General features: G+C 43.4%; 2 annotated features.

The window, feature by feature from the left end:
• Positions 6,319-6,368: an enhancer, noted in NCBI's record as "active region_17594". NCBI's record gives its function as "activates an Ori minimal core promoter by ATAC-STARR-seq in GM12878 lymphoblastoid cells {active_cell/tissue: GM12878}" and the evidence as "EXISTENCE:reporter gene assay evidence [ECO:0000049][PMID:35858748]".
• Positions 6,749-6,798: an enhancer, noted in NCBI's record as "active region_17595". NCBI's record gives its function as "activates an Ori minimal core promoter by ATAC-STARR-seq in GM12878 lymphoblastoid cells {active_cell/tissue: GM12878}" and the evidence as "EXISTENCE:reporter gene assay evidence [ECO:0000049][PMID:35858748]".

A 24,857-nucleotide genomic window follows, 5' to 3' on the forward strand; every position in this document is an offset into this window, starting at 1 on the left:
ATCTCAACTGGGATTAGTCCATTTCAAGTGTGCAGCTGTCCCGCACTTGAAGTGTGGCATCCATATTGGATGGCAAGCACTGGGATTTTATGGAAGCCGGAAGGGGGCATGCAGCCAAGTCCATGTGTCAGGGGACATCAAGGGCAAGGTGCCACCTGAGCTGGACCTAGGAACACAAATGCCACACCACCAGGTGCAAACACCAGGGGGCACCCATCTCTATCCAGTAGTGCCAGGGGCAGCCCTAGGGGTTAGCCAGGCAGAGGAGGGAGGTGAGCTAGTGCAGGAAGACAGACTCCTTCAGCACTATCACCTGTTGAGAGAACTGCAAGCATTTGCCATGAGGATGACGTGGTGAGGTTAGACAGAGGAGGGGAGAGCAAGGTTATGGCAGGCCTCCCGTGCCACCTAAGGGGGCTGAGTTTCATTCTGCTGCTGATGCTGCGTTGTGACATCATCATAGGGTGCTCTTCAGCAGAGGACTTAGAGCAGGGAGACAGGAAAGAAATTCTCAGGAGCTGGAGAGAAATGTTTAGGGACTGGCCTGGGACAGGGGATGGAAGTGGATAGAGAGAGAGTGAGTCTACTAGCTCCCCACTTGCAAGGTTTGTGATTTTTCTGCAGAAATCCTCAGCTACTCTAGGTCAGAGGTAGATTGTCAGAAATTTGGAGCACAACAACCTGTTTCACAAACAGAGAGATATTGATTTAAGAGCAAGAGGCAGCTAGGATCACCTTCATTCTCCCTGTGGCCTGTGCTATCTCCAAACCACCCTATCCTTAATCTCCCCAGGCAGGCCCAGCACAAACCATCTGCCTCCCTCTGTCCCCTGATCTCCTCATAGTTCTCATAGTTCTAAGCAGTGTGAGTGTTTCCTTCCATTTTTATTTCTCCTGATAGCTCTGTCATATTGGAAATACCTGTCTGCAGGATCAACCGAGCTGAGAGATCACCCAGAGGCCTCTTTTCCAGAATGCCTGGTGAAAGAGAAGGCAATTCACAGAGCACAAGCTACAGCTCTGACACTGGCCCTTCCTGCTGAAATCGCCATCATTTAACGACAGTTGTGGTTCTGCCGACACAATGTACTGCCCTGGCTGTGCAGGGGTCTGGACATCTGCAAGTCTCACCAACTCCCAGGGGTGCCTTTACTGCCAGTCTGTGAGCCACACTTTAAGTAGTGATTGGCCTGAGTGGGGCTGGGAGTGGGGGTGTTTCAGTCTTAGCTGCTCACTACAGAAGCTCTTGGAGAGACTATAATTTCTCATACCTGGGCTGCACTCTAGACCTGTGAAAGCACAACCTCTGGGTGTGGGAGCTGAGGACCAGTCCAACCACCATGGACAGAAAGGCCCTGGAGGAGGGGATGCTGTGTGGAAAGAGAGGCCACAGGGAGGTGACCTGGGGCCCAGACATAAGCCACCACCCCAGCTGAGGGCTCGCACACATGAGTGAGACCATCTTGGCCCTGCAGTCCCTGGCCAGCTGCCCCAGCCAACACTCTGGAGCAGAGGTGAGCTGTCCCTGCCCCGCACTGCCTGAATCCCTGACCGACAGCAGCCATGAATTGTAATGTTTAGGCCAAATGATTGTTGTTCGTAAATCAGGAAGCTTGGGGAGATTTCTTATGCAGCAATAGCTAGCTGATACAACTCACAGGACTTTAACTGCCTTGAGAGTAGGACCTGTGTTGGTGCCCCTTTGCAACCCCTACACTTCAGTGGAAATTTGGAGAAGGCTGGAGAAATGCTAAATGCCAGGGAAAGGCCAAAGGAAAAAGTGCAGTGCTGTCCAGGCCAATGGAAGGCAGGAAGTGGAGAGTCATTGTTCGGAAATATGTTCAGCAAAGACCAAAGGAAAATGGACAGGGCTCCTCTCCTTACCCAGATGAGCATCTGGCCTTGTGTTGGCCTCGCTGACCCTGCCTGCTGTTTCTCCTGTCCACTTTCTGCTCTCCCCATGGCTCCAGCTTCCAGGCACAGCCCAAATACTTGGAGCAGTGGACAGTGGGTGGCAAATGGCTTCAGGCCACTCTCAGCAAGGCACTGGGGGCACAGCCTGACTTCCCATGGCCTTCTTTATGGTGATTCGGGTTCCTGTGGTTCTGTGACTCACCTGTCATTGCCAAAGATGCCAGGATGGGGCCTGGAACTTCAAGGCAGCCTGGGAAGGGAGCTGGCAGGACAGATCAGGAAAGAGGAGTATCCTGGGGTCCTAGCCAGATTTTGCAGTCACAGGGGCCTTTGGGGGCAGCAGCTCCCGGCCAGTCAGGCCTGACCCTTTTTTGGGACATGGGTACAGTTTGGGGGTGCGGGGCTTGGAGCTGGAGAGAGGTGTGGCCGTGTCTGCTTTAGTTCCTCTCGCAGGATCCTGTCAGAGCTCCTCTCTCAAGCCCCAGCACCTGCTGTGGCCTCCAGAACCATCTCTCCTTAGCCACAGAGGAAGGGTGCCCTGGGGCTGGGCTTCAGGTAGGGAGGGGTGAGCCTGCCTTCATGCGTGTGGTCGCCATCCTGTGGTTTCCTTCATACTTTTCCAGGGGGCTCACGCCCCATTTCAGGGCACAGACCCAGAGAGAATGACAGCCATTCCCTGTGCTTGGCTCATGCTGGGCCGTGGGCTGCTTTCGGGGTGCATGTGTGAAGATGTCTAGGGGACGCAGAGCTACATGGTGGGGCCCCTCAAAGTGGCCCATGGCCTGGCGCTGGTTCATGAGCTCCTTGTTACCAGTTGGTGACAGGATGAGCATTTAGAAACATTCGTGGAGCTTCAACAGAGCTGCAACACCCACACCTATGATACTGTATTTTTTTTTCTTTGAGACAGAGTTTTGCTCTTATTGCCCTGGCTGGAGTGCAATGGCGCAATCTCAGCTCACTGCAACCTCCACTTCCCAGGTTCAAGCAATTCTCCTGCCTCAACCTCCTGAGTAGCTGGGATTACAGGTGCCCGCCACCACGCCTGGCTAATTTTTAGTATTTTTTTTTCTTTTTTTTTTAGTAGAGACAGGGTTTCACCATGTTGGCCAGGCTGGTCTTGAACTGCTGACCGCAGGTGATCCACCCGCCTCGGCCTCCCAAAGTGTTAGGATTACAGGCGTGAGCCATCGCCCCCAGCCGATCCTGTATTTTACAGAAGAATTAGTCCACAATGGGTTGGAACAAAAATAAAATGGGTCCATCACTACAGAGAGGGAACACTGAGCTAGAAACCACCTGCTTTGTATGGACGCAGCAAAATAACCACTCCCAGGAAGCCCCCACCAGCTGCAGCTGCATGCCCCTAATTTTATACTAAACAGGGCAGCAAGGAAGGAATTAAAGTTCCCTAATATTCCAGCCAGGTCCAGTGCACGGCCAGCTCTTCCTTCTCAGAGCTTCTGCTACTCCAGTGGTTTTCACCGTGTCATCCTTGGACCAGCAATATCAGCCAGATGTGGGAGTGTGTTCGAAATGCACATTCTCAGGTCCCTCCCAGACCCATGGACGCAGGCACTCTGGGGATGGCACCAGCCACCTGTGCCTTAACAAGCCCCCAGGGAATTCTGATGCTTATTTACTTATGCTTGAGAACTCTGTGCTCTTGTCTCTAAAACATCGTTATAGATGATTTTATTCTCTGCTTCTGTTAAACTGGTCACTCTTTTCTCTACAACTACTTTCTGAGCTCATTGAATAAAGGGACTCAGAATTCTACATCTGCATCTTCCACAAATCCTCGCCCAGGCTGAGACAGGGGCTGAATAAACCAACTACTGATATATCCCACCTCTTGAAGTTTCATCACAATTACTGTACCCATTATAGAGCTGGGCAAACCAGTGAGCAGAAGGAACACCATAAAACTGATTTTGGGGCCAGACAATGGAAGAATTGGGTTGAAAATTTTCTTCCCATTCTTTTCTCCTTGGCATCAAGCAGAGAATTCATTCTCTCCCGAGTTTCCTCTTCACTAATCCCACTACCCCCCATCCCTTCCCAAACTTGGAGCTTGCTGCTCTTGGCCTTTTGTAGGGCCTGCCTGGTCTTTTGAGTTTAAAAATAAAAATTTAAAGAATTACCAAAAGGACGTTCTGAGCTCTGTCTGGCAATTTGGGCAGAGAAGCCTGACATCTGTGGCCATCACTGCCCACTGCAGACAAAACGGAGTCAGCCCTGAGACACTCCTCTCATGAAAAGACACCCCAGGCACCTGTTCCAGAAAGACCCACTCGAGGCTGGGAGCGGTGGCTCACGCCTGTAATCCCAGCACTTTGGGAGGCTGAGGCAGGCAGATCATGAGGTCAGGAGATCGAGACCATCCTGGCTAACATGGTGAAACCCCGTCTCTACTGAAAATACAAAAAATTAGCCAGGCGTGGTGGTGGGCGCCTGTGGTCCCAGCTACTTGGGAGGCTGAGGCAGGAGAATGGCACTAACCCAGGAGGCAGAGCTTGCAGTGAGCCGAGATCGCACCACTGCACTCCAGCCTGGGCGACAGAGCGAAACTCTGTCTCAAAAAAAAAAAAAAAAAAAAAAAAGTGAGGTCTGGCTGGGTGCAGTAGCTCACACCAGCACTCAGGGAGGCCGTAGCAGGAGGATTGCTTGAGGTCAGGCGTTTGAAACCAGCCTGGTCAACGTAGCAAAACTCCATCTCTACAAAATAATAATAAAAAACAATTAATGGGGCGTGATGGCACACGCTATAGTCCCAGCTACTTGGGAGGCTGAGGCAGAGAGTTGCTTGAGCCCAGGAGTTTGACACTGCAGTGAGCTGTACTTTCCCACTGCACTCCAGGTTGGGTGACAGAGTGAGACCCTGTCTCAAAAAAATAAATAAATAAGTAAAATAAAAAACAAAAGTGAGTGCTTGCACTGCCAACTAGGCATGCATGTGTGCCACCACCGAAATACGGATGGCACAAGGGAAATTTGTTCTGGCCTCAGTTCCCTGGATGTTGCTGCTCCAGCAGCCCCTGTTGGTGCCACAGGCATGCTCTGATGGCAGCTGCTTGAACTGATGAATGTTTTGCTGAGAAATCAGATAGACATGAGTAAACCAATCCAAGGACTGTAGCTCTCTCACAGTTTTGCAAGCTCAGCAAAGATAAGCGAAATTGCTTTGTGTGCAGAATGTCATTCCCTCTCTGGAAGGAAGATCTCGGTATCTTTCCATCAGGAGAATCTGGTCTCCAAGTTAACAGCACACGCTACGCAGAGGTGAAGGCTGTGGGAGGGAGGTCAGTGGAGAGAATATTGAAGATGGGCACGCCCTGGTTCTAATTGGAGTCACCTGGGGAGCTTCAAAGCCCTCCCACTTGGGCCCCACCCCCACAGCTTCTGATGTAGTCAGACGCAGAAGAGATTTTAAAGCAACCTGGGTAATTCTAATGTGTTGGCCATGTTCAAGATCGCTGGGCCAGGTTCTGGTTAGGACAGGTTATAACTCCATCCAGGTTTGATGGTCTCAGGTTTGAGGGTTCAGCCAGATGATTAGAGGGGGAGAGGACCTCTTGGAATCCTAGTCTTGGCAAATTGGGAGTTTCCTTGGGAGTTCTGAAGATACAGATTTAGATACACACACCCAGCTCTCCAGGCGATTTGTGTATAAATAAGAGCACCTCAGCTTTCCAGCGTTATCTGGATTTGGGGAACTGACTAGATAGCCCTGGGGACACCCTTGGGCTTTTCCTCCACCCCCTACTCAGGTGCTGGCAGATCTCACCTACCTCGCCCATCATTGCTTCTCAGACTTTAAAGTGCACAATAATTGCCCAGGGATGTTGTTCAAGTGCAGATTCGGACTTGCTAGCTCTGGAGTGGAGCCTGAAATTCTGCACTGCTCACAAGCTCCTAGTGATGCTGTTGGTCCCCAGGCCCATTTTAAGCAGTGAGGAGCCCAAATGTGGTCCATGTGAGCAGCCCACCAGCATCAGGCTCTTCCCAAAAGCCTTTTGCAGCTGAGTGGCCCCCTTCTAGCTGGGATTCCAGTGGCTCCTGGAGGCATTAGAGGCACCCGTTATCCCACTTCCCAGTTGTCCCTGATGGTACGCTGCCTGGAGCTGTTCCTGGTTTTCTCCCTGTGGTATCCTGACTCCCTGGAGCAATGGCTTGCAAACTTGGGTTCACCTTAGAATCACCTGAGGAGCCTTACAAAATGCTAATGCCTGGGCCCCAACCCCATTGAGTCAGATTTGTCTGTGGTGTCATCTGGGTATTGTGATTGTTAGAGATTCCCAGGTGATTCTAGTACAGCTGGCCTCAAGCCAGGAGTCTCAAAGTGTGCCTCAGACCAGCAGCAGCATGGCATCTGGGAACTTGTTGGAAGTGCAGCTTCTCAGGCCCCCAGGCTTCCTAAATCAGGAACTCGGGGCTGGAGCTCAGCAGCCTGTGAGCCCACAAGTCCTCTATGTGATTCTGACCCCGCCTTGAGTTTGAGAACCGCTTTCTTAGGATGCTAATGCAGCATAATGCTTGTCTGTAACCTTCTGACCACCGCTGAGGTGTGTGGGAGGTGGGGAACAGCTGTGGTTTCCTCGGAACCCTGAGTAAAACCAGGTGCTCCTGGGGAGGCCCCTAGGACCCTGCAAAGCTCTGAACCGTGAAGTGACTCAGGGTCCTTCTCAAGCCCCACATGTGGGGACCGGCTGCTCTGGCAGCTTCCACGGGCCACCTTCCAGCCCCAGACACATCACATCAGCTATTTAAAGCTCAGCTGAATAATATTTTCCATTATGTGGCACAGACTTTACTTCGGAGTCCTTCAGGGCTGCCAAGGGTCAGGTTTCTCAGCTTATCGAGGACTGTCTGGGACCCGAGTCCATGGGAGAGATCTCTTGTCTGTTTCTTCCCCTCCTAGTTGAGGCCTAATGGGGTGCAGGGGTTGGGGAAGAGAGAGGGGAAATGGCCTTGAGTGTCCCCTGCCCTGACAGGAAAGTCTCCTTGGGAACATGTAACTTTCATCGCCCTTTATTCCATGTGACAGGGTGGCTTCCAGAGAGGGCAAACCAATGGCCCAAACTCACACAGCTCATGCGGGAGAGCTCCAGGTCTCAAATAAAAATCTCTGGGTACATCGGGCTCATTGTCCCCCACACTGTGTTTGAGGGGAGGCCTCTTGACCCCCTCCACAGTCCTCCCTTCCAGGCTACCAGTCTGCCACCTGCAGGGATTTATTCCAGATTCAAGGTGAGGAGACACACACTACCAGGTGACAGGAGGCCCCCTGCTGCTCCCTAAGATGCCAGGAGCTGTGTTTGCAAAACGCGTTTTGAGACGTGGGGATATGGCACCCAGCAGCATCACCTGGGCTGCCCAGGCCCTGGCAGTGGGCAGCAGACAGGTCCTTTCCCCAGGTCCAGATCTCTGCCATGGGCTTCCCCAGGCCCAGTCTGTTCAGACACTTGGGCAGATGGCTTGCTTTCCAGCCACCCCCACAGAGGGGCCATCTGCTTGCATGCTCACTGTCTCCGGGCTATACCTAGGACACTGGCTCTGAGGTGTGCTCACAGTTACAGCACCTGTGGGGCATGGAGTTGTCAGAGGGGAGTTGAGCTTCCATGTAGTCAGTAGTCAACAGAGGCCTTGGTCAGTGACCCGGGGCCCTGGGCTGCTGTGGATGGAAGCAGGGCAGGTGCTTTCACACTCCTGTGTCCACTAGGTGGAGGCTTCCCCTGCGGAGGGTATAGACCGGGTTGGGGAGGGGCATGTAGGGGAATGCATCCCCTGGCCCGATGGGTATCTGGAAGGGCATGTGGCACCCACCACGGTCACATGCCAACTAGCCAAGGCCAGTCCAGGCCAGCTGAGAGTGGGGTTGGGCTGAGCAGCCATGTCGCAGTAAAGCAGCAGAGCCAGCGTGGCTGATAAGATCAAGGCAGGAAGTACCTGGAAGTACCTGGGCTTGAATCCCTCTCAGTGCTTACTAGCTATGGGAGCTTGGGGAGCTACGTGATCGCTCTGTGACTCAGTTTCCTCAACTGTAAAATGGAAATACGACTAGCACATATTTTGTTGTGAGGACTAAGTGAATCGTCATATACAGAGAATTTAACTCAGTGGTTGGCAAAGTGCTTAATAAGCAGCGTTTTTGTCCTGGACAAGGGCTCAGTGTGCTGAGGAACTTCCTCAAATATAGAGAGGATGGAGTCTGTGGTATTGGACCTTGGGGTGGGCTGCTTGGATTGAAAGATCAATAGGGTAGGCCCCTTCCTGGCACATATTCACCCAGAAATGCAGAAGGAATAAACCGATTAACACTCAGGTTTTGAGCTTCTAAATAAACTTTGAAGCCCAAGAAGAGTTTGAGAATCCTAGGGCAAGAGAGCCCCAACAGGCAGCCCGGGTCGGGGCTCCCCCACTCACCTGCAAGACCCTGAAGCAGGCAAGGAGGCTCTCGGAAGGTTCCCATGTGACCCTCCCAGGCTCCTGGAGCTTTCCTGGGCCCTGAGATGAACGCAGATTTCACGACATCCTCATGAGGGAGGACGCAGAAGATGTGGGTCATCAACTCAAGCCTGACAGGAGTGTGGCAATGCTGAGAACCAGGCAGGGGGTATGCAGCTTAGCAGACACTGATGCGGACAGGTGCCGAGCATGGTGGAGAGCTCCTGCAGATGCCTGCATCCCATGCGTGCCCACCTCCCCACTCCCTCAGCTACCACTTTTTTTTTTTTTTTTTTTTGAGACGGAGTCTCACTCTGTCACCCAGGCTGGAGTGCAGTGGCACGATCTCGGCTCACTGCAAGCTCCACCTCCCGGATTCACACCATTATCCTGCCTCAGCCTCCCGAGTAGCTGGGACTATAGGCACCCACCACCACATCTGGCTAAGTTTTTGTATTTTTAGCAGAGACAGGGTTTCACTCTGTTAGCCAGGGTGGTCTCGATCTCCTGACTTCGTGATCTGCCTGCCTCGGCCTCCCAAAGTGCTGGGATTACAGGCTGCGCCCGGCCAGCCACCGCTTTTATCAGGAACAAGAAAGGCAAGGGGAAAATCCAGATGAAATCCAAGATGACTCAGGTTATCCTGACATGGAGATAGATTAAGCCTTCTCGCCCCCAATGAATGGGGGGTACAAAATAGAGATTAAGTTGTATTGTTGAAGAAAACAAATTACAGTGGTGCCCCCTGAACTTTGGACCTGAATGTGTTATTAGAGAAATGCCAATCAAAACCACAATGAGATACCATCTCATGCCAGTTAGAATGGCAATCATTAAAAAGTCTGGAAACAACAGATGCTGGTGAGGATGTGGAGAAATAGGAACACTTTTACACTGTTGGTGGGAGTGTAAATTAGTTCAACAATTGTGGAAGACAGTGTGGCGATTCCTCAAGGATCTAGAACCAGAAACACCATTTGACCCAGCAATCCCATTACTGGGTATATACCCAAAGGATTATAAATCATTCTACTATAAAGACATATGCACACATATGTTTATTGCAGCACTATTCACAATAGCAAAGACTTGGAACCAACCCAAATGACCATCAATGATAGACTGGATAAAAGAAATGTGGCACATATACACCATGAAATACTATGCAGCCGTAAAAAAGCTTGAGTTCATGTCCTTTGTAGGGACGTGGATGAAGCTGGAAACCATCATTCTCAGCAAACTAACACAGGAACAGAAAACCAGACACTGCATGTTCTCACTCATAAGTGGGAGTTGAACAATGAGAACATGTGGACACAGGAAGTCCCAGGAACATCACATACTGGGGCCTGTCAAGGGGTGGGGGGAAAGGGGAGGGAGAGCATTAGGACAAATACCTAGTGCATGTGGGGCTTAAAACCTAGATGATGGGTTGATGGGTGCAGCAAACCACCATGGCACACGTATACCTATGTAACAAACCTGCATGTTCTGCATATGTATCCCAGAACTTAAAGTAAAAGAAAAAAGAAAGAAAAAATCTGTTCTTCCAAACTCTGCCTTTTAATTGGAGAGTTTAATCCATTTACATTTAAAGTAATTAGTAAGGAAGGACTTATGCCATTTTGCTATTTTGCCTCTCCATATGTTATTCTTTGTTTGTTCCTCTATTCCTCCATTATTGCCTTCTTTTTGGTTTAACTGAGTTTTCACAGTATACCATTTTGATTTACCTCTCACTTATTTTTCCGTATATTTTAAAAGCGACCTTCTTATTGATTATTATGGGGATTAAAACTGATACCTTAAATTTATAAGAAACTAATTTGAATCAATGCCAACTTAGCTTCAATAGTATATAAATCCTCTGGTCATACAGTGTTTTTCTTCCCTTTATATGTTGTTATTGTCACAAATTACATATTTATACATTGCCCCTTAATGTAAATCTATAATTATTATTTTCCAAAAATACATAATACAACACTGCATCCCAAAACAGTAGGACACTTATATTTACCCATGTGGTTAACTTTACCAGTGCTCCTTATTTATTTCTTTGTATGGCTTTAATTTACCATCTAGTGTCTTTTCATTTTGACCTGAAGAACTGCCTTTAGCATTTCTTGTTAGGCAGGTATTCTAGAGATAAACTCTTTCAGATTTTGCTTGTCTGGGAATGTTTTATTAATTCAATTAAATTTTATTAATTAAATTAAAACACTTCTTCAGCTTTGAAAGATAGTTTTGATAGATATGGAATATTTGGTTGACAGTAGTTTTCTTTCAGTACTTTGAATATGTCATTTCACTGTCTTATGGTGCCCATGGTTTTTGATAAGAAATTGGCAGCTAATCTTATTGAGAATTCTTAGTATGTGATGAGTTGCTTCTCTCTTACTGCTTTCAAGGTGCTCTCTTTGTCTCTGATTTTTCAGTTTGATTTTAATGTGTCTCAGTGTGGATCTTTTCGTATTTAGCCTATTTGGGGCTTGTTGAGTTTTTTGATTGTGTAGATTCTTGTCTCCCATCAAATTTGACAATGTTTTCAGCCAATATTTCTTCAAGTATTCTTTCTGCACTGCCCTCTTTCTGCTTTCTTCTGGGGGCTTTGTTGGGGGTATTGTCCCACAGGTCCCTGAAGGTCTTCCCATTTTCCCCCAATCTTTTTATAGATTTCATAATCTTTACTGTTTCATTTTCATAATTTTTATTGCTCTATCTTCAAGGTTATTGATTCTTTCCTCCATCATCTCCATTTTTCTATGTAGCCTATCCTTTTTTAAAATTTCATCTACTGTATTTTTTTAGTTATAAAATTTACATTTTATTCTTCTTTCTAGCTTTCATTTCTTTGCTGATATTTTCTATCTTTCCATTGATTTCAAGGACGTTCAAACTTGCTGGAGCATTTTTGTAATAGCTGTTAAAAGTCTTTGTCAGATAATTCTAACTTCTGTGTCATCTTGGTATTGATATGCTGACTGTCTTTTCCACTAAGAATTGTGATTTTCTTGGTTCTTCACAGGACGAGTAATTTGGGATTGTATACTGAACATTTTAAATATTTGCATCGTAAAACTCTGGATTTTGTTTTAATCATCTGTAGGATATTGATATTTTTGTTTTACCAGGCAATCAACCTTTTGAGGCCACAAATTCTGACCAGTCTTTTTAGGTTGTGGTTTCAATGTTACGTTTTCAAATCCTTGTGGTGTTATTAGTATCTGTTCCATGTGTCTCACCCAGTTCCATCTGGTATCTGGATGGCGGTCTGTCCCATAGTTCAGTTCTTGATCTATGGCATGCTGCTCATAGGGAGATCCATGCATGCACAACTTGCTGCTGAGCTGTAGATTCATGATGAACTTATGTGGCTGCTTTCCTGAGCCCCATCCTGTCCGTGACTTCCTTAGTACTTTCTGATTCCCTTAGAGACTCCCCTTTACATTCCTCCAGACAGAAACATGGCAGCATATTTATTCTGATCTGCCATACACCTTTCCAAGTGTACCAATGTCTATGGTCAAGCAGCAAGAGGAAAGAGAAAAAGAACAGGATTTTATCCTTCCCAGGGAGGATCACCGCTCCTCCAATTGGTGAGGGAAGTTTTCTTCATCAGAGTTTTAGGCTCCTGTGGGCCCTCGTTGTTTTTGCTGGTGCCACCATTGGCATTAGATTGTTTGGAAGCCAGAGTGTGAGAGAATAGGAAAACAAAAATAAGGGGGTGAAGATTTCTACACCTTGCTCTCTATGAATGTCAGAAGACCCCTTCCACACTCTGCAAGTCAGACTAGAGGGCTGCTCCTGGAGCAGTCTCTATCCATGCCAATGGTCTCTATCCATGCCAATGGTCTCTATCCATCCAAGTTTTGGGCTACACTGAGTTCAGGCCAGGGAATACAGTAAGTCCTCACCTAATGTTGTCAATAGGTTTTTGGAAACTGTGACTTTAAATGAAACAACATTTGATGAAACCAATTTTACTATAGGCTACTTGATATTAACAAGAGTGAAGTTCCTAAGGAATACTTCTGGTCACAAAAGCATCATTAAACTTATAAATAAAGACCCAAAACACTTCTAATATTAAACATTGAAATAAATGTGAGCTATATATACACTTAAGAAAGATTAATAAAAACAAGTAAGATCACTATTTACCCAATTTTTGGTGAATCAGTGAGTGATGGCAGTCATAGCAGTGGTGGGTTAAATCAAGGAATAAATGTTTGCAAAGTGAAAATAGTAAGAAGCCCCTCTCACCATCCCACAGTTCAAAAACAAGTAATAACAAACATGGCGGCCCCCTGAGCACTTTCGTGATGCATTTATTGTCCTGCATGGGTATGATTGTTGTAGAGTTTATGAATTTTTTATTTTACAGTAATTTTCTTTTCCTTTCTTTCTTTCTTTCTTTCTTTCTTTCTTTCTTTCTTTCTTTCTTTCTCTCTTTTTCTTTCTTTCTCTCTTTGTATCTTTCTTTCATTTTCCTACCCACTTATTCCAGTGCAGGGTCATAGGTGACAAGAGCCTCCCTATCCAGGAACTCAGAACAAGTCAGGCACAACCCTGGACAGGACGCTCTCTCATTACAGGGATGCTCATACCATGCTAACTTATATTGAGACAATTTAGACATGCAATTAACTGAATGTGGACAGCTTTGGGAAACCAGAGAACCCAGAAAAAAACCCACAACCCAAACAGATATGGAGAACATGCAAACTCCACACAGACAGTGGTCCCAGTTGGGAATAGATGTTTTTCTCATTGAGTTTATATGAAATGACTTTGAACAAAGCAAGGTAATTCAAGGACCTGTTGTACTGGAGGGAAATAAAGCGGCACCACTGCCAGTCCAATGGCACTTGAATTCTAGTCTCCTTGCCCATCTGCCTGTTACTCCTTGTTTTTCAGCTCTTCACATGGCTGCTCAATGCATCCTTTACAGGGATTTGGAAGCAACAGGCTGGAGTGTACTTACTGCATCTTACCCCAATCCAGAACCTCTCCTGTATCCTTTTTAGGCCTTTTGGGGTCACTCTCATACCTCCCTCATCACTGAAAAGTACACTTGACCCCTTCCCTCTGTACTGCTCTTTTATCTATTCCTAAGGCATCCTCCAACAACTGTTAAATTCCAGTAAAAAATATGTTGTTAAGTTCAATGGAAAGAATGGTCAGCCAAAGAAACCCCTCTGCTCAGGATGGAACAAAAGATCCAGGCCCCTTTCCCCTGTGACCACTTGTCAGACAAGATTCTAAACCAAACATGTATTGAACAAGAATTATATAATTGGTATTATACTAAAGTTGGAGCCCTTGTTGATCACTGGGCGTTTTTTTTACATTAAAAAGGTATATTTATATAAAATACAGATAATAGGAACAGGATAAAGATGATGATAAAATACAATTAAATATTCTGCTCAATCACAACGGTAAGAGAGAAATAGTCAACCAATATTGCTAAATTAATAACAGTGCACATTGGTACAGCCTTCTTGGAAAAGAACTTGGAAAATGAAAACCCAAGAAATATTAAAGCATTTATACATACTTGGGAATTTATGCTAAAGAAACAATTCTAAGAATGTAGGCATATAATTAAAGCATCATTACTGGCTGGGCACGATGGCTCACACCTGTAATAGGTCCTAGTACTTTGGGAAGCCATGGTGGGCAGATTACTTGAGCTCAGGAGCTTGAGACCAGTCTGGACAACATGGTGAAACCCCATCCCTACAAGAAATACAAAAATTGGCTAGGCATGGTGGTGTGCAGCTGTCATCCCAGCTACTTGTGGAGAGTGAGGCAGGAGGATCACTTGAACCTGGGAGGTCAAGCCTGCAGTGAGCCAAGATCGTGCCACTGCACTCCAGCCTGGGTGACAAAATGAGATGTTGTCTCATTTAAAAACAAGACTAATAAAGAAGAAAAGAGAGAAGAATCAAATAGATGCAATAAAAAATAACAAAGGGGATATCACCATCAATCCCACAGAAATACAAACAACTGTCAGAGAATACTATAAACACCTCTACGCAAATAAACTAGAAAATCTAGAAGAAATGGATACATTCCTCGACACATACACCCTCCCAAGACTAACCCAGGAAGAAGTTGAATCTCTGAATAGACCAATAACAGGCTCTGAAATTGAGGCAATAATTAATAGCTTACCAACCAAAAGAAGTCCAGGACCAGATGGATTCACAGCCAAATTCTACCAGAGGTACAAGGAGGAACTGGTGCCATTCCTTCTGAAACTATTCCAATCAGTAGAAAAAGAGGGAATCCTCCCTAACTCATTTTATGAGGCCAGCATCATCTTGATACCAAAGCCTGGCAGAGACACAACAAAAAAAGAGAATTTTAGACCAATATCCTTGATGAACATTGATGCAAAAATCCTCAATAAAATAGTGGCAAACCGAATCCAGCAGCACATGAAAAAGCTTATCCACCATGATCAAGTGGGCTTCATCCCTGGGATGCAAGGCTGGTTCAACATATGAAAATCAATAAACGTAATCCAGCATATAAACAGAATCAAAGACAAAAACCACATGATTATCTCAATAGATGCAGAAAAGGCCTTTGACAAAATTCAACAACGCTTCATGATAAAAACTCTCAATAAATTAGGTATTGTTGGGACGTATCTCAAAATAATAAGAGCTATCTGTGACAAACCCACAGCCAATATCATACTGAATGGACAAAAACTGGAAGCATTCGCTTTGAAAACTGGCACAAGACAGGGATGCCCTCTCTCACCACTCCTATTCAACATAGTGTTGGAAGTTCTGGCCAGGGCAATTAGGCAGGAGAAGGAAATAAAGGGCATTCAATTAGGAAAACAGGAAGTCAAATTGTCCCTGTTTGCAGATGAGATGATTGTATATCTAGAAAACCCCATCGTCTCAGACCAAAATCTCCTTAAGCTGATAAGCAACTTCAGCAAAGTCTCAGGATACAAAATCAATGTGCAAAAATCACAAGCATTCTTTTACACCAATAACAGACAAACAGAGAGCCAAATCATGAGTGAACTCCCATTCACAATTGCTTCAAAGAGAATAAAATACCTGGGAATCCAACTTACAAGGGACATGAAGGACCTCTTCAAGGAGAACTACAAACCACTCCTCAATGAAATAAAAGAGGGTACAAACAAATAGAAGAACATTCCATGCTCATGGATAAGAAGAATCAATATCGTGAAAATGGCCATACTGGCCAAGGGAATTTATAGATTCAATGCCATCCCCATCAAGCTACCAATGACTTTCTTCACAGAATTGGAAAAAACTACCTTAAAGTTCATATGGAACCAAAAAAGAGCCTGCATTGCCAAGTCAATCCTAAGCCAAAAGAACAAAGCTGGAAGCATCACGCTACCTGACTTCAAACTATACTACAAGGCTACAGTAACCAAAACAGCATGGTACTGGTACCAAAACAGAGATATAGACCAATGGAACAGAGCAGAGCCCTCAGAAATAATGCCACATATCTACAACTATCTGATCTTTGACAAACCTGACAAAAACAAGCAATGGGGAAAGGATTCCCTATTTAATAAATGGTGCTGGGAAAACTGGCTAGCCATATGTAGAAAGCTGAAACTGGATCCCTTCCTTACACCTTATACAAAAATTAATTCAAGACGGATTAAAGATTTAAACGTTAAACCTAAAACCATAAAAACCCTAGAAGAAAACCTAGGCATTACCATTCAGGACATAGGCATGGGCAAGGACTTCATGTCTAAAACACCAAAAGCAATGGCAACAAAAGCCAAAATTGACAAATGGGATCTAATTAAACTAAAGAGCTTCTGCACAGCAAAAGAAACTACTGTCTGAGTGAACAGGCAACCTACAGAATGGGAGAAAATTTTTGCAACCTACCCATCTGACAAAGGGCTAATATCCAGAATCTACAAAGAACTCAAACAAATTTACAAGAAAAAAACAAACAATCCCATCAAAAAGTGGGCAAAGGACATGAACAGACACTTCTGAAAAGAAGACATTTATGCAGCCAAAAAACACATGAAAAAATGCTCATCATCACTGGCCATCAGAGAAATGCAAATCAAAACCACAATGAGGTACCATCTCACACCAGTTAGAATGGCAATCATTAAAAAGTCAGGAAACAACAGGTGCTGGAGAGGATGTGGAGAAATAGGAACACTTTTACACTGTTGGTGGGACTGGAAACTAGTTCAACCATTGTGGAAGTCAGTGTGGCAATTCCTCAGGGATCTAGAACTAGAAATACCATTTGACACAGCCACCCATTACTGGGTATATACCCAAAGGATTATAAATCATGCTGCTATAAAGACACATGCACACATATGTTTATTGCAGCACTATTCACAATAGCAAAGACTTGGAACCAACCCAAATGTCCAACAATGATAGACTAGATTAGGAAAATGTGGCACATATACACCATGGAATACTACGCAGCCATAAAAAATGATGAGTTCATGTCTTTTGTAGGGACATGGATGAAGCTGGAAACCATCATTCTCAGCAAACTATCGCAAGGACAAAAAATCAAACACTGCATGTTCTCACTCATAGGTGGGAATTAAACAATGAGAACACATGGACACAGGAAGGGGAACATCACACTCTGGGGCCTGTTGTGGGGTGGGGGGAGGGGGGAGGGATAGCATTAGGAGATATACCTAATGCTAAATGACAAGTTAATGGGTGCAGCACACCAACATGGCACATGTATACATATGTAACAAACCTGCAAATTATGCACATGTACCCTAAAACTTAAAGTATAAGAATAATAAAATAAAAAAAAGAAAATGCAAAAACAAGTCATTATTAAAGGATTATCTCTAATAAAACTAGAGAACATTTAATTAAATATTGTACATAAATACTATGTTATGCAATATGGTAATTTAAAATAATTATTTTAAGTATATATAGGAGCAAACAAAGTTGTTTATAGTATAATGATGGATCAATTGTCTTGCTGTGTAATTTTAACACTTAGCTAGAGCAGAATGCTTTTTGTTCCTGAAACAAAAAGGATGCTACCCAAATGAAAGGGACAGGAAAGAAAACTTTAACAGAATATTTATTAAAGCCCATCACGATATAAAAATGAAAACACTTTATATTTGTACTCCACCTAGCATGTTAAAAAAAACCCAACTCTGGCCAGGCATAGTGGCTCACGCCTGTAATCCCAGCACTTTGGGAGGCTGAGGCAGGTGGATCACGAGGTCAGGAGTGAAACCCCGTCTCTACTAAAAAAAAGTACAAAAAGTTAGCCGGGCGTGGTGGCAGGCACCTGTAGTCCCAGCTACTCAGGAGGCTGAGGCAGGAGAATGGCGTGAACCCGGGAGGCAGAGCTTGCAGTGAGCCGAGATAGCGCCACTGCACTCCAGCCTGGACAACAGAGCAAGACTCTGTCTCAAAAAACAAAACAAAACAAAACAAAAAACCAACAAAAAAACAGCCCAACTCTATCAGTAGCATATATTTATCTTTTATATTGCCAAATTGTTCAATCCTCATTCATTTTAGTAGGTTGTTCTTAGCAGTGTTCTGGATTTTCTAAGTATGCAAGCATACAGTCTTCAAATGAAGTTAATTTTGCCCTTTCATCTTTAATGTTAGTCTTTTTTCTTTTTAGTCTTTTTCTTTGAGTTCTATAATATTCATCTTGAGTGATTTGTCTTACAACAGAAAATGCTTCCCAATGTTGTGACAGCAGTATTGATATATAATACAATCCTTTTCTGTTACAGAATATTTAATGTAATTTATGATATGAAAAATGTAAAGGAGAAAAAAGTTATTATAGCAAATAACATTTAGCAAATGCTAAAAAGGCATTTTACAAAATTCCACATTCAATCTTTATGAAAGTTCTAATCATAATTGAAATAGGGAGGTATAAAAAATGAAAGGAAACATTTTTCCCCAAAACTACTAACAAATACCTATTTTGTACATCACTACAAAAATATATTCAAGTAGTTATCGAAAGCAAAATAGACAAATGGGATCTAATTAAACTAAAGAGCTTCTGCATGGCAAAAGAAACTATCATCAGAGTGAACAGGCAACCTACAGAATGGGAGAAAATTTTTGCAATCTATCCATCTATCCATCTGACAAAGGGCTAATATCCAGAGTCTACAAGGAACTTAAATAAATTTACAAGAAAAAAATCAAACAACCCCATCAACAAGTGGGCAAAAGATATGAACAGACACTTCTCAAAAGAAGACATTCATGCAGACAACAGACACATGAAAAAATGCTCATCATCACTGGTCATCAGAGAAATGCAAATCAAAACCACAATGAGATACCATCTCACACCAGTTAGAATGGTGATCATTAAAAAGTCAGGAAACAACAGGTGCTGGAGAGGATGTGGAGAAATAGGAACACTTTTGCACTGTTAGTAGGAGTGTAAACTAGTGTGGTGAATCCTCAAGGATCTAGGACTAGAAATACCATTTGACCCAGCGATCTCATTACTGGGTATATACCCAAAGGATTATAAATCATGCTACTATAAAGACACATGCACATGTATGTTTATTGCAGCACTATTCACAATAGCAAAGACTTCGAACCAACCCAAATGTCCATCAATGATAGACTGGATTAAGAAAATGTGGCACATATACGCCATGGAATACTGTGCAGCCAAAAAAAAGATGAGTTCATGTCCTTTGTAGGGACATGGATGAAGCTGGAAACCATCATTCTCAGCAAACTATTCGCAAGGACAGAAAACCAAACACCGCATGTTCTCACTTATAGGTGGGAGTTGAACAATGAGAACGCTGGACACAGGGCAGGGAACATCACACACCGGGGCCTGTTGTGGGGGTGAGGGGATGGGGGAGGGATAGCATTAGGAGAAATACCTAATGTAAATAATGAGTTAATGGGTGCAGCAAACCAACATGGCCCGTGTATACATATGTAACAAACCTGCACGTTGTGCACATGTACCCTACAACTGAAAGTATAAAAAAAAAACAACTGTGTATGGTGACATAATATCTAGGTACCATAATTTATTTAATTCATGAGTTATTATGTTAAGTTGAATATCCTTGTGAACTCTCATTACTTTTTTTTTTACATTTATTTTTTTTGGCACCATGTCTACGAACTCTTTGCTTAACTCCAAGTCATGAATATTTTATTCTAACAGTTTCATGTTTTTACATGTACATTTTTAATTCTGATCCATTTTGAGTTATTTTTTTAAAAAGGTGTGTGCTTAGGTGGATTGTTTTGCATATGAATGCCAAATTGTCATTTTTTGAAAAGACTACTCTTCATCCAATAAATTTATCTTGTACCTTCCTTAAAAATCAGTTGGTCTTGAAAGGCCAAGGTGGGCGGATTACGAGGTCAGGAGATCAAGACCATCTTGGCTAACACTGTGAAACCCCTTCTCTACTAAAAACACAAAAAATTAGCCGGGCGTGGTGGCATATGCCTGTAGTCTCAGTTACTCAGGAGGCTGAGGCCAGGAGAATTGCTTGAACCCAGGAGGCGGAGGTTGTGGTGAGCCAAGATTGCGCCACTGCACTCCAGCCTGGGCGACAGGGCGAGACGCTGTCTCAAACAAACAAACAAACAAACAAGCAAACAAAATCAGTTGATCTTATTTGTGTGGATCTATTTTTGGGCTCTCGTTTTGGTCTATTGTCTTAATTACTATAGCTTTATTAAGCGTAAGTGTTAAAACCAAATAGTGTGATTTCTCTAACTTTACGCTTCTTTTAAAAAGTCATCTTGGCTATTCTAATTCCTTTGCCATTCTAGTACATATGTTTTAGAATCAGCTTGACAATATCAATGAAAAATTCTGTTGGAATTATGATTTACATTTCCTAAATTTCATAAGACATCAACTTATCAAAAAAATGTATTCTTCTGGGAATTGAGCCATCTACACTTGTGGAATAAACTCTCCCTAGTCATAGTATATCATCCTTTTAATACAGTGATGGATTCAATTTGCCAGTGCTTCATTTATACTTTGTATCTATAGTCATAAATAAAGTTGGCCTAGAGTAGTGGGTTTTATTTCATTTGTTTGTTCTTTGCTTCTCTTTTTTTAAAAAATAAATCCTATATAAAGTTTTTCCAGTATGGTTACACAACCTTCATTGAACAGATTTGAAAAGTTGTTCATCTTTTTCTATGGTCTGAAATGGTTTAATATAGGAATTATCTATGTTTTTCTATAGACTTTCTGAGTCTCTGCATGTCTAAAAATATCTTTGCTATGACAGATGATTGATATTATGGCTGGATATATAGGATTCTTAGAATACTGTCCCCATTCAATCATTTTTAAATGTTTTTCCAGTCTTACCTCTAGTGTTGCACACAAGTTGTCTGATGGTAGCCCATTCTTTTTCCGTTGTAAGTAATCTATCATTTCTTTCTATAAGTATGTAATATTTTCTTTTCCATAATTGGAATACAAAAATTTTATCAGGACATGTTACTGGAGGTCTAGGTTTTTTAAAAATTATAATTAACTTTACTTGGGACTCAATTGTTTTTTGTAACCTGAAAACTCAAACCTTTTTTTTCTAAGACATATTTTCTCTCTTGATTACCCTATTTATTACTTCTCCATCTGTTCTCTTTTCCCTTTCTAGTGAACTTTTATTAGTCACATTCAGATATCCTGGATCTGTCCTCCAAGTTTCTTTTCTTAATTCTTCATGAATTCCACATCATTTATAAAATACTTCTTCCAGTTGAGCTTCCAAAACAGTCATATGGTCCTCAGCAAAGAATGGTGTCTTCTCAGCTTATTGAACTTGTAATTTCAAAAATAAGTATTCTGGTTCTAGAAAATCTTTTGTTCTGTGTTAAATTTAATGCCCTTCGGGAGTTCTCATTTATTTTTGTTGTTGTTGTTTTTAAGTTCATCTGTCTTTTCCATTAGCTTTATTTAAACAATTGTCATCTGCTCTTCTTTTAAACTTAGTATTCTCCCTCGGGTTGCTGGAATTCCTTAATCTGGCAGTTCTCAACACTGGCCACACATGAGAATCCCTCTAGGGGGGTTACAAAAGTCCCAATACTCAGGAAACGGTGAAACCAATTAATAAAGACTTTCTGATGGTGGAACAAAGGCATCAGTAGCTTTTAAAACTCCCCAGGTGATTCCAGTGAATCAGCTAAGAATAAGCATTACTTTCTTAAATGGGCCTCATTTTATTTATCTTCTCAGGGGTGTATATTCCTTTAGAATTTTTACAGGTTATAGCTTTAGTATCACAACTGGCAGATGGTGTAAGGGACAAACATTTTTGCTCTCATTAGGTTGTGGGGTAAAACTCAGAAAACTGGGTTCACTTTGCTGGAGTATGGGAGGAGCCTCTCTGTCATTAGGTCTTTTTTGGGGCAAGTGACAGCAACTCCCTCATCTACAGAAACTGGTGCCAATGCACTTCAGTATTCAGCAGCTTTCCAGGTTCACAAAAGTCTGTGGACTAGGGAAGCCTTCTAAGGACCACATGCAAAACAGGGAGCAGGGGCAGGCAAGAGCTTTCTCTTCGAAGGTGATTGTTGGTTGTGACTTGCTAGTTCCAGATGGAGGTAAACAGCTATGCATGTAAACACCCGTATTTCCAGAATCCCCTCTATGATTTCCCCTGATAATTAAAACTTTATTACCATTTAGATTTGTATGATCACATGATCAGTGTGAATGTAAAATGTACACAGCCTCCAACTGGGTGCATCAAGAATCTCATGTAATCCACACAACAACATGGATGAATTTCAAATGCATCATGATAAGTGAAAGAAGCCAGATGCATGAGGCTGAACACCCTGTGATTCATGTATATGCCATTCTGGAAAAGACAAACCAGAGGGATAGAACACAGATCGGTGGTGACCAGGGGCAAAGAGTCAGGGGAGGGAATTGGCTACAGAGGAGCACTGGAGGAAATTGGGTGTGATCGAATTCTTCTATATCTTGATTCTGGTGGTGGTTACATCATTATATGCGTCTGCCAAAACTCACAGAACTGAGCATTAAAAATGGTGTGTTGTATTACATTTAAATTATACCTCAATAAACCCTTTTGGAAAAAAAATCATGTGTCATCTCCATTATACTGAACTCTCTGCAGATCCCCCCAAATCTCTCTTAGGCTTGTCAGCCTTTGTCTACTCTATTTTCTCTGCCAAGACATTTTCATTTAATCGTTAAGACTTGGATTAGATGCTACGTCCTCTGGGAAACCTTCCATTTTTCTGCATGACTCTTCTTGGTGTTTCTTTGCTATCCCAGCCCCGTTTGTGTGGTGTTGAGGTGCGTGTCTGTGTTTGTATTCTCTGCTAGACTGTAGGATCAGTAAAAGTAGGGATTTCATCCTGTTTATCATCATTGTATTCCTATCATCTACCTTAGTCTTGCTAAGTATCTGGTAATCTATAACTTGCAAGGATAAAGTGGCTACTCTCCAGCATATTCACCAGGACTTTCTGTTTTCGGAAACCTCCCTGGAAGCTCCAAAAAATTAAGAAATATCACAGAAATTACTTGCAAAATCCTTGCACTAGAGCAGACATGCTTGACTATGGAGCCACTGAGCTTATAAACCTGAGAGGTGGATACCTAGAGGAAGATATTTTGAGAAGATGGAAGTGAGTTCCCTGAAAATCCATGGTCCATAACACCTTATCCATTTTTATAGCCACAATCGACAAGAATGCTCATCCTATTTGCTTTCCTTGCTTGACAATATAATTTCAGAGACTGGTGAAAGATGTTTTCAGCACTAGAATCAATACTTCGGATTACAGCTGCTTTTGTGCTCGTCTCTCCCCAGTGAAAACATTGCTGGGGAAATGGGAAGATATATGGAAGCTCCATATCTCCTGATATTTTAGCTCTCAAGAATCTGTCTGTTCTAATCAATTGCTGCATTTATTTTGAAGAATTTTGAAGGCAGGGGTACAGGGTAAGAGGAGAGAAATGATAACTTTGAGGCACTTGTTCTAAAGCTGTTGTATCTGAACAAATAAGGAGCCATACGCCCACCTCTGATTCAGAATTGCATTTCTTTTCCTACAGATCCCAAGCCAAGGGCATCTTGTAAAAGCTCTTAGTGTAGTTGGGAAATGCCTCCATATTTCTCTTAATCTATACTTTCAAGGAATTCTCATTCAAGATGGAGGATAGACCACCTGCATTGGGAGAACGGGCCATCACCTCCCTTGATAGCCAAATCCCACAGAAATGTCCATCTCAGGCCACACCCTCAGGTGAGCCAGAAATGTCACTTTTTCTGCTTGTCCTTAACAGAATTGATTTCTCTTTGCATTTGTCTGAGTGGTGGAGACTTTCTCTCTTTCAGTTCAGGGTTTCTCCTCCTGTAACATCCCAGTTGCATTAAGTTCTGGGAAACTTCAGAGAGCCAAAGTGTTCAGGGATTGGGGGTGAGGGGTGCCCATCTTTTTCTCAGTTTCAGTTTTCCATGATAGACCTCATTCCATCTGGCCCTCAGTCATTGATTCATGCTAGCAGTTTCCTCATAGATATCCAGTTCCATTATTTGTTTATTTATTTTTGAGACAGGGTCTTGCTCTGTCACTCAGGCTGCAGTGCAGTGGCATCGTCATAACTCGCTGCAGCCTTGAACTCCTGGGCTCAAGCAATCCTTCCTCCTCAGCCTCTTAAGTAGCTAAGACCACAGGTGGGCAACACCATGCCTGGCTAATTTTTTAAATTTTTTTGTAGAGACGAGGTCTCACTATGTTGCCCAGGCTGGTCTCTAACTCTTGGGCTCAAGCGATCCTCCTGCCTTGGCCTTCCAAAGTGCTGGGATTACAGACATGAGCCACCACTCCCAGCCTAATTCCATTATTATATCCTTCTTCAACCAAACTGCTGGGCCTCTCTCTCTGTCACACAGAACATTTTTGTTCTTTCCCTCATTATGCAAGGGATCTCTTAGCCTGTTTTGGCCCATCTACTTAGAGACCACTCATGGCTGCCTTAGGCCCTAGAGGCATGTGGCAATTATGTTTGGCTCCTGGGGCAATCAGGAAGTGAGGTGTCAGGTTCTTGGTTCCCTGGAGTTCCAGTTACTACCCCAAGTTTCTACTTTATTGGAGCTGGAGATGGGTGGGCTTGGGGTACAAGTCCCTTTCTCAGGGCAGCCGTGAGAGTCTAGGTTACTAGACGCCACACAAACATATAGATTAGGTTGAACCATATAAAATTGTCAATTTTTTTTTGTTAAGTCTGGTTCAATAGTAGCAATTTTATACATTGTGAGCTATACATACCAAATTATGATACACATTCCTCAATCTGTTCCTCAACTTTGCAAAGGGTTTTGTTTTGTTTTGCTTTGTTTTTTTGTTTTTTTTTTGAGATAGGGTCTTGCTCTGTCACCCAGGCTAGAGTAATGCAGTGGCTCCATCATAGCT

This window comes from Homo sapiens, chromosome 20, assembly GCF_000001405.40.
Source record: "Homo sapiens chromosome 20, GRCh38.p14 Primary Assembly".
In the NCBI taxonomy this organism is placed as follows: Eukaryota; Metazoa; Chordata; class Mammalia; order Primates; family Hominidae; genus Homo; species Homo sapiens.